The sequence below is a fragment of the Homo sapiens genome, chromosome 5 (assembly GCF_000001405.40).
Source record: "Homo sapiens chromosome 5, GRCh38.p14 Primary Assembly".
Taxonomy (NCBI): Eukaryota; Metazoa; Chordata; class Mammalia; order Primates; family Hominidae; genus Homo; species Homo sapiens.
Window position 1 is genome coordinate 88,218,677 of NC_000005.10, and position 11,330 is coordinate 88,230,006.

Here is an 11,330-nt window from a genome sequence, read left to right on the forward strand (position 1 = left end):
GACCCTGTCTCAAAAGAAAAAGAAAATAAATCAGAAATTGGATTGGCAGCTGCAGTTCTTAAGAGTAAGAATGGAACTTCAAAGACAAAAACATAATTTTCGGCCTGGAATTCTATTCTCAGCCAAAGGAAAAATTAATTCTTAGGGTAAATTTAAAATATTTTCAAAAGCGCAAGGTCACAAAAAATGTAGTTCCCATGCAACCTTTTTGAAGATGATACTGGAGAATATGCTCTGCCAAAATCGGAAAGTAAACCAAGTAGGAGGCAGACATAGAATATCTTTAAAAAGAGCTCCAATTTGAGGGAGATGCAAAGAGAATCTCTAAGAAGATGACAATCAGTGATACCAGGGGCATAGGTGCACATCAGGTGGGAAGGTCAACCAATCTAGACTGGGGCTTATCTGAGGGTTCCAGGAGGAAAACTCTACTCAAGATGAAATTGACATATTACTTGATACTTCTGAATATATTAAGGCAAGTATTCATCTGTGAATGGTGTTTACATGATCATAACATAAACACTGAATACTGTTCTAAAAACATGACATCACTATATGTGGAAGATGAAATGAATAGAAACTGATCAGTGGCTAACTGCCAGCCCAAAGATACGTGCTTAATCCTTATTTCCAAAGTGAAATGGCAATAGTTAAAGCTTAAAACTAAAATCAAGGAATGGCCTTGAAAGTACATAGAAATATAAAAGTAAGCATGAAACAGAGAAGAGCAAGAAGAAGTTGCCTCTGGAGAGATGGAAATAGAGAAAAGAGTAGGGAACATATATAATTTTAATAAAAATAAGAAAACAAAAATATCTCCCAGTAGTAAAAGACATGAGTTTTCAGATTTAAAGGGTAAATCTAGAACTTAGCACAAGGATAAAATGTCAGAAACCAGAAGAATAAAAAGAAAAAAGCTTCCAGAGGGTTTATGTACAAGGCGAAGGATAGGTATACATGAAAAGCAAAAGGATATCCAATTTCTCAAGAGACTTCAAAATTCTGAAGAAAACCTATTTCTTTCTTAGAATTTTCTACTGAGCCAACCTATCTATCAAGTATGAGGGAAAAAATAAAGATAATTCCAGGCAAGCAAGATTTCAAAAAACAATTTAGCACCCTTTCTAAGGACACCATAGGAGAATGTACTCTGCACTCTGCAAAAAAGAAAAAGAATAAACCAAGGAAGAGGAAATCATGAGATCTAGACAGGGGTAGAGGGAATTCTTGGAAGACAGTGAAGAAAGTCACAGGATATTAGCTATGCTGGAAGTTTAGAAAACTGAGGGCTCCAGGAGGATATTTCCATGGGAAAAAAAAAAACAGAAATGAAGTATCTGAACTATTGAGGTTCTACCAATTCTGTGGAAGTTTACAGTTTCCACAATTATAAAAATAAAAAATTATTTAAGGAAGGTAATAATACACTATAATGCCTGGCTGTAAATAATATTTTCATAGGCACAACATGGTAAAAGTGACTATAAATTTAATAAAATGTTATCTCTAACTATTTTGGGAGAATGAAAGAAGGGAAGAAAAGGGAAGAGGGAGAAAGGTGCAATAATATATAAATAGTAACATTATCACAAAATATTTAAACACAAGGAAGGAATTCCCAAAAGAAATGCCTAAAAGAGGTGAATGTGGCTGTCTCTGTGACATTAGACTTGGATAAGAAAAAGCAGGGCACTGGCATTTTTCTTATATTTAGCTTTTTAAATTATTTACCTCTATTACTTTGAAAAATATTTTCAATTACATAAAAAAGATTTCAATAAAGAAAAGTTATCTAATGACATAAAATCTTTCTCAAATCAGAGATGAGATCTAATGGTGTTATCTGCAAAATAAATTAATATTAATGATGTTTTGAAGGATACATTGCAAAAGACAAAACAAGTAGGCACCAGACTAAGCTGATATTCATTTCCTGTGTAGGCTTCATAAAATTGTAGTAGACTTCAGTTACTAGATACACAACTGTAGCAGCCACTGTGAAATCCACCAGCCACTGGTATTCTGGAAAGTAATGCAATGCTGGAAAGAAAAAAAAAAAAAAAAAAAAAAAAGGTCAAAAAAAACAGTTTCACTTACATTTTCATAAATAACTTATGAGGATTTATTTATAATTAAAATACGCTAGACTTTATTTGTTCATTTGCAATGTAAGATTTACAAATATATGAATCTAAAAATGCAAGAAATAGACTGAGGATGTTAGCATCCCAAACTAAATTTTAATACCTCACAAATTAAAATAAACGTTAAAAGATTACCAAAAGTTATTTAAGTTGTTGGTAAAGTATGATTGCAAATTTACTGGTATTGTCTTAACTGATTAGCTACTTTTTACAGAAATTATTAGTAAATATTTTCTTTTAAATATCTAGCTATGATACCTTAACTTCAGAAAACAACTTAGTCTGGAACACAACAATTTAGTTATACTGTTCACTTTTGTGAAGTAAGAGTTTAACTTTATGTTACAATTATTGGCTGTACTAATTGTAAACTAGTAATTCTGTGAGATACTACAGATTAAAATAATAAACAAGAACAGACGCGGTGGCTCACGCCTGTAATCCCAGCACTTTGGGAGGCCAAGGTTGGCGGATCACCTGAGGTCAGGAGTTCAAGACTATCCCGCTTCTACTAAAAGTACAAAAATTAGCCGGGCATTGTGGCAGGTGCCTGTAGTCCCAGCTACTTGGGAGGCCGAGGCAGGAGAATAGCTTGAACCTGGGAGGCAGAGGTTGCAGTGAGCTGAGTTCACACCATGGCACTCCAACCTGAGTGACAGAGAGAGACTCCATCTCAAGAAAAATAAAATAATAAACTAAATATACCTCTTATACCCTATTTTGTTCTGCAAAAAAGTTTATAAAATGTCTGTTGATTTTCTATAAAACCATACCCCTTCAACAAACTATTCCATTCTTAAGAGTTTACATTGAAATTAACATTCTTTGAAAGTAAATATAATTCCATCACCCTTTGCATCTCAGGTGGCATAGGTATTCTGGTTTACTTCTACCAGAGTGTAGTCCAAAACATCAACATCATTTTTTAGAAGGCCTCCTAAAAATGTGGAAGTAAATCATGTACATAACCATCAATTCAGATGTTCTTATGGCACATAATAAAATGATCTGCATTGCTTTGGACAATTTTTAGTCATGAAATATAATGCAATTACACTTGAAGATACGATATCCTTATAGAAAAAGTATTTTGAAAATATCACATACAGTAAGACCTATTAAAAGTAGTATCAAAACAAACTAACCAAATTTTGTACCATTTCTATAAGATGATCATAACATTTTTCCAAAATCCTATTATGATTAATTTTTAAATTTGCATCAAGTTATTTTAACATTCTTAATCTGCTTCAACGTACTTTAACTTTTAGGTTAACTGCTTTAGGTTTTCTGAGAGTGCAGTGGTGTGATCATAGCTCACTGCAGCCTCAGCTTCTCGGGCTCAAACAATCTTCCCACCTCAGCTTTCCTAGTAACTGGGACTACAGATGCACACCACCACACTCGGGTAATTTTTTAATTTTTTGTACAGACGTGGTTTCACTATATTGCCCAGGCTGGTCTCAAACTCCTGGGCTCAAGCCATCCTCCTGCCTCAGCCTCCAAAAGAGGTGGGATTACAGACATGAGCCACTGCCCCCAGCCCTGCTTTAGGTTTTCTATTGTGATTGACCTACAGTTTCTGAACATAAGCCTGAAAGATACTGATGTGGTTACAGGATGCTTACCCTCAATCCCTTCCCCCTGCTAAGAAAAAAAAAAATCACCCATACTGGGCTTTCATCTGGAAGGAGGTCAGGGAAGTGGATGGAAAGGATAGACCAAAATCCATTTACGGTTTTCAATTTTATTATCAATAATTGAAATAAGCATTCTAATTCTCCAAACCTACCCATACTCATAGGGACTTCTTCCACGTAACTCACTCATAGCAGACAGTGAAGTGACATTCAAAAGTTCTAATGTTCTTTAAGAGGTTCTTATAATAGATAATACAAATTAAGACAGACTTTCATGATAATTATTGGGACATCAATAATATATACATTCCATGAAAGTACAAATTATATATATTCTTGGCTATTTAACTCAAGTGTTATATTCCTTGTGTAATCAATAATACAATTATATATATGCCTTTTAATAAAATATTGAAGTCAAAAGAAGTTAAGACAGAAAACCCCATACTTTCACCTAATCACATATATACAACATGCATTCACAAATGACTACAAAAACTTATAAACATATATGAACATCTCCCTGCTATTCTGGTTAACTGGAAATGCTCTTGATGTTACATGACCAATTGATAAATGAGTATCATTTGCAACTAGTTCTCAAAATCCTAAAAGTGAAACCAAATACTCCATAAACTACATGCTAAAGCTACAATACCCTAAATTCATTTTTTTTTTTTAGTTCGTTGAAATAGCCTAGTTCTCACTAAATGGCTGTACCACATTCAGTGTGTAACCCTGTCCATGTTATTCAACTCTTCTTTCTAATGAGTTAAGAAAAAAAAAAAACTGGTAAGTTACCCACTTCAGAATTGTGCAGATGGGGTAATACAAGTAAAATATTATAACAATGTCTGATACTCAATAATTTTAAGATCTTATTAATTAGCTGACAAAGTATTCAATAAACATTATTAGTAAAAATGTCAAAACTACTAAAAATCAGGAAGAATGTTTATATATTCTTGTATTTATACACGTCTATGAACATTTTATACAAGTAAGCGCATATAGGAGTAGTGAAACAAATGTGACAACTACTAATCAAAAAGTCAAAGTGCCTTTAAATGTTTTAAATGTTGAATGTAAAACAGTTAAAAAGAAAAAAGAGGAAGACATAACCAGTCTTAAAAGTCTAAATGGGCCAGGTGCAGTGGCTCATGCCTGTAATCTCAGCACTTTGGGAGGCCGAGGCGGGCAGATCACGAGGTCAGGAGATTGAGACCATCCTGGCTAACACGGTGAAACCCCGTCTCCACTAAAAAATACAAAAAAATTAGCCAGGCGTGGTGGCAGGCGCCTGTAGTCCTAGCTACTCAGGAGGCTGAGGCAGGAGAATGGCGTGAACCTGGGAGGTGGAGCTTGCAGTGAGCCAAGATAGCACCACTGCACTCCAGCCTGGGTGACAGAGCGAGACTCCATCTCAAAAAAAATAAAAAAAAAAAACAGTCTAAATCATATTAGACAAGTGATTTATATTGTTCTTCACTGATATTTTTTAGTTCTAGGACATGCTTTACATATACATACAACCTTTACAGATGTAATAATAAACTTTCACGTATTTCGAAGCCACTTTGTATCACAAAATAATCCTATTTGAGATGCTGGACCTCTTAAGATTTTTTGATGGTGGTATGATTTAACCCAAGAAGGGTCAAATTACATAATGACACCTTATATGACATTATCAAAATTATTTTTTAAAAACACGCATCATTTCATTTATCACATAAACCAGTGGTTCTCAAACCTAGTCAAAAATCAAAATCACTTGGAGCACTTTTAAAAATACAAATTCCTAAAACCTACTCTAGATTTACTGAATCTTCAAGGATAGGAGTAGGGAATCTATTTCAAAGAACTCATCAAGTGGTTTTGATATATCCCCAAGTTTAAAAACCAGTGTTTTAAATTGTTATCAACTTAGATGCCTTTCCCTTCTAGGATTCAAATAATTTCATATTAATATTATTTTAAACTAGAATCATTGTCATTATATAATTACAAAAATTGAGATACTACATTTCTATAATATATAGGAGGAAAACTAAATGACCTATTTGGAAATAAATGGATGAAAGTAAATCCTGAATAAGTAAATTTTTCTGATTTGTAATCCAGTTCAGTATTCTAAAACCATTTTCCTTTCTACTATATGTGAGAATAAAATTGAATTACTCTAAATATGGGTAATTCAATAGAAATGCAGTTGATCCTTGAACAATACAGTTTGAACTGTGCGTGTCTACTTATATGCAGATTCTCTTCCACCTCTGCCACCCCTGACCAGCAAGACCAACCCCTCTTCTTCCTTCTCCTCCTCAGCCTACTGAAAGTGAGTATCACAGTGTTGAAGACTTTTATGATGATCCACTTCCACTTAACAGGAAATATATTTTTTCTCCCTTGTGATTTTCTTAATAACATTTTCTTTTCTCTAGCTTACTTTATTGTTATAACACAGTATATAATACACATAACACACAAAATATGTTTTTGTTTTTTTTTTTTTTTTTTTTGAGACGGAGTCTCGCTCTGTCGCCCAGGCTGGAGTGCGGTGGTGCGATCTCGGCTCACTGCAACCTCCGCCTCCCGGGTTCACGTCATTCTCCTGCCTCAGCTCCCTGAGTAGCTGGGACTACAGGCGCCTGCCACCACGCCTGGCTAATTTTTTGTATTTTTAGTAGAGACGGGGTTTCACCACATTAGCCAGGATGGTCTCGATCTCCTGACCTCATGATCCGCCCGCCTTGGCCTCCCAAAGTGCTGGGATTACAGGCGTGAGCCACCGCGCCCAGCCAAAATATGTGTTGATTTTTTATGTTATTGGTAAGTCTTCTGGTTAGCAGTAGGCTATTAGTAGTTAGGTTATGGGGGGTAAAAAGTCATACGTCATACTCGATTTTTCAACTGCATAAAAGTAGGCACCCCAACCCCTGGGCTGCTCAAGGCCGGACATTTCAAATGCAGTTTTGCAAGCCACATTAGAAAAGGGCAGACTGAAATAAACAGTAAAAGGAAGTCTAGAATTCTAGATAATAAAAATTGACTGTGACCTCAATCTAATAAACAGAAACTGTGTAATAAATTTGTGTAAGTTAGCCTCTTCCGAAAATAGGAAAAATAATACAAGTTAGGTGAACAAAAAAATAAATTTAATTCAAATGAAGTCATTTGAGCTTCTAAGTTCTTAGAAAGATTCCATATTCTCTATAATGGACTTAATGATTAAAATGAAAGTACTTTCACTACTATAATATAAAACTGAGATTTATAGAACATTTTATCAAGATTTCCCTTACCTAAAGTATCCACTTCTGTAACTGACTTTGTTTCTAGATGAAGGTCAATATCCTTTGGAATGGTTAATGGCTTACTTTCAATGTGACCATTATATTTCCTATAAAAATCAGACAAGTGACACAAAAAACAAGTTACCTACACTGTTATCCAAGTGCTTGTTTCAAACTAATTACAGATGAAGTTTTAAATTTCACAGTGAAAAGGCAGAATTTCTAATATTTCATCAATAAGGAGGTAAAGTACTCAAAGGTAGTTTTTAAAGGGGTACTATAAAATCTGAATGTAAATTATCATGTGAATATACAGATTACCAGGGAAATAATTACCTAAATTAGTTACTGCAACAAAATCTTTTTTTTTCTAGCTTAGCATTTCACACCCATTTCTCCTACTCTCTTTTCTCTTTAGGCACAAGAGTAAATGCAAATGAAGACAAAGTGCACTTCTCCTTGAAGTGACGTGTATAAACACACACACACACATACATATAAACAGACCCGGAACCATATGCAAGTCAGAGTTGAAGAAAGATTTACGTGTATGAGAAATTCAGAAACATGAAAGACTAACTTGGAATAGTTTTTACTAAAAATCACAGATGAAGGAAAACAAATTCTTCCGGTGTATCTGTATGATTCCCAAATTTAATTTTTAAAGACAAACATATAGAAAGCAATAAACTAAGGTTTCAATTTATTACTTTATGTATTTCTTTAGACACACAGTTGCCCAGGCTGGACTCAAATTCCTGGGCTCAAACAATTTTCCTGCTTCAGCCTCTGAGTAGCTGGGACTACAGGTACACACCCCCATGGCCAGCTTCAACTAAGTTTTAATAATATTAATTTCAATACTGAAAAACAACTTTGCATTTATCCTTGAATAAAAAACTGGAAAGCCTCAGTAAAAAATAATTTCATGTTAATAAACCAAACAATAATTCTTGTTACTAGGAACAAGGCAGCAATGTTAATGTATCTTTTTGTAACTATAAGGCATGTTCAACCTATTAAAAATTACTGCAGAACAGAATTATTCATTACAAGGCATTATAATAAGGATTCAGGCCAGGTGCAATGGCTCGCACCTGTAATTCCAACACTTTGAGAGGCCAGGAAGATCGAGGCAGGAGGATTGCTTAATCTCAGGAGAGACCAGCCTGGGTAACACCGGGAGACCCTGTCTCTACAAATTTTTTTTTTTAAAAACTAGCTGGGTATGGTGTTGCATGCATCTGGTCCCAGCTACTCAGGAGGCTGAGGTGGGAAGATCATCTGGGCATGGTGTTGCATGCATCTGGTCTCAGCTACTCGTGAGGCTGAGGTGGGAAGATCATTTGAGCCTAAGGAGGTTGAAGCCACAGTGAGCCAGAATTGTGCCACTGCACTTCGGCCTGAGTGACAGAGTGAGACTCTTTCTACATAACTAAATTTTACAAATGTTGAACATAGTAGCTATAAATGGGTGGAAGGGGAATAGTTAAAAAGAAACAGAAACTAAAAACTAACCTAGATTCAAATCCTGGTTACCAGTACGTAACCTTACTAGTTATGTAAATTTGGGCAACTCATTTAACATCTCTGATCCTAGCTTCTCATTAGTAAAGTGTAAATTAAATTATTAGCTAACACGGTTGTTTTGTGGATTAAGTAGAACTGTGTATAAAAGTGCTCTGGAAACTATAATGTTAGGCAGGACTATTTTATTAAAGAACTTAACTACTGGAATAAAAAGAAGGAAGGTTTACTATTAATAGTCCAATGAGCTTCCAGGTATATTTGTAATGATAAGTGAAAAAGGATGGTAGTAAGATCAAAAAAGACAGTCTTTTCAAATTTCCAATTTGATGCCAAATAATCATTAATGTTTAATCATTTTTTAGCTTCTATAAATGTATTAGGCTAGGTTAGCATTTTTATGATATACATGAGAAATATGGTTATAATTTGTTGTCAATCAATCATTTCAGAGTCACAGGGGACCTAAGAAGTCCTCCTAGATCCCCAGTTGAGAAAACTACGGTCCATTCAGAGAGGTAATTAACATACACTTTCCCTAAGAATTCTATTTAAATAGAGATATAAAATCTTAAAGCTGGAAGGATTATTCAAAACATTGTTTTGTTTACTCTGTCCAAGTCACAGATGAGGCTTCTATGGTCTGTTCTGTGAGGTCAATTAGTAGGTAGTTCTCTTCATAAACTTTAAACATGAAAAGAACATTCAGGAGCTGATGGGACCTACACAGTTATATTGTCCCTCCCTTTTAATTATAAAATGAGGAAACTGAGGCCAAGAGCAGGTTAATTTCCCCAATGCCACAATACACAGTAGCAGCAAAAACTGGAAAATAACCCAAACCAACTGACGTCTTTAATTAGTTGTAGGATAAAGATATGGGTTATAAGTCTCTCCCCAGTCAACCCCCAATTACATTTTCTTTAGTATGATGGCTATATTGTTTTCATGATTTAAACAAAGAATAAAGTTCTTGAGTAAAATAATCACTATTTTGTGTGTATATATTACTACAGATTAGATTTTCATGGGTTTTGATCTCAAATTTATCAACTACTTACAACATAATTGGTACATGTTTCTTTAATCAAAGCATAAAAATGTATTTATATAAATTGTGTTAAATATTTATTACTTTACAAGCTCAATAAAACTTACCTATCTTTTTTGGTTTTCCCTTTTTGTTGTTTCCCTGCAAGAATTCTTAATTCTTCTTCTGTAGGATGTTGATACCACCTCAAACTAAGCAAAAAAAGAATTCTTTTAAATAAAGCGCTTAAAATCACCAGAATTATTCTTCATCCTATAAATATTTATTAAGTTTCATATTTGTGAAGACACTGTCGAGAAATATCAGGTGAAAACTGTAATCTGAAACAAATACTAACTCTTAAACTTTAAAAGGGTTTAGATAAACATCCAGCAGACACTTAACCAACCACTTACTAGATGCCAGGTCCTACAATGCCATTTGTATGTATATTTCTTACAAATGACAATGTATTAATACATATTAAGATTATACAGGCTTATTATTAAAAGTAAATAAAGTGAAGTCTGTAGCCAAGTGGGCAGGAGCACATTAATTCTCTACTAATCCCTCATTTGAAGGAATTGAGAGTTATCTTAAAAAGAGAGGTGTTTGAATGAATTCTCACATTTACAGGTAGTCTTTCCTTTCTTTCCCTTTTTTAATTTAGTTCGAGAATTCTCAAACTTTGTGTGTAGAATAATTACAGAAAATCATTGTATTAAAAAACACTTCACTTTTAGCTATATCTAACCTTCCTCAGGTAAGGATCCAACAACTGGTTGTATCCCTCTCTACCACAGTCAAAATACTTTAATCTGAAGTGAAGAAATACTCACGATCCAAATTAATCAATTATTCCCTCCCAAGCACCAAGTGGCTCATCCTGAATTTCATGGCTTGCCTAGTCATCCCAACTATCTACAAATCACTTAAATTTGATATTCATATCTTATTTTCAATGTGCCCTCTCCACATGCTATTATTAATTCTGTTTCTCAACTCTTAAAATTCTAAACTCTGCCCTACTGCAGAGACCTTAGTTCAGACCTTAGTTCAGTGTATCTTCCTCTGAACATCTGACTACTGCAAAATTCTCTCACTGGTATCCTCCCTGCCTTCCTGTGGACACATTACTCATCAAATCCATCTGAGCTTACCTCTAGTTATTGGTTTTTTTTTTTTTTATCTTACAGAAAGGTGGACCACCTTTACTTATTTTTCCGTAATACAAATCTTATCAAGACCCATGCCTGTTTAAATCATTTCCAAGGCTCCTCACAGGGAAAAGCAATGAATAAGGCAGCTAGGCAAAAACTTTGACAAAGGCCCTATTATTACAAAGGAAAAAATGCATATCTAGTATGCTAGACCCCCCAATTCTTCAATTACAAAAATCTAGATTTTTTAAATTTGAAATTTCCCAATTGCTGTTCCCCCCGTCCTCAAAATAGAGACAGGGGCTCACTTGGTTGTCCAGGGTAGTCTCGAACTCCTGGCTTCAAAGGATCCTCCCTCCTCAGCTTTCCAAAATGCTGGGATTATAAGCATTAGCCATGGTGCACAGTCTCTTTGATTTGCTGTTTTAAAAACACGGCAGGCCAGGTATGGCGGCTCATACCAGTAATCCCAGAACTTTAGAAGGCTGCAGGATTGTCTGAAGCCAGGAGTTTGAGACCAACCTGGGCAA

General features: G+C 34.7%; 1 protein-coding gene across 22 annotated transcripts in view; it reads right to left on the bottom strand.

The window, feature by feature from the left end:
* Positions 1-11,330, bottom strand: part of TMEM161B (transmembrane protein 161B) — an 83,276-nt gene that overhangs the window by 33,107 nt on the left and 38,839 nt on the right. For 16 of the 22 annotated variants that reach the window (XR_002959844.2, XM_024454373.2, NM_001349407.2 and 13 more), the window contains 3 exons: positions 9,769-9,852; positions 7,093-7,190; positions 1,887-2,043 (listed from right to left, as the gene is read on the bottom strand). Coding sequence is in view for 15 of the 22 variants with exons in the window: in XM_024454373.2 (XP_024310141.1) it covers positions 1,887-2,043; positions 7,093-7,190; positions 9,769-9,852 (339 nt within the window). In the remaining 7 variants the exon portion in view is untranslated. Of the gene's footprint in view, positions 1-1,886; positions 2,044-2,997; positions 3,085-7,092; positions 7,191-9,768; positions 9,853-11,330 lie in introns of those variants that run through there. The other 6 variants (NM_001349405.2, XM_047416811.1, NM_001349402.2 and 3 more) reach the window with 3 other exon arrangements.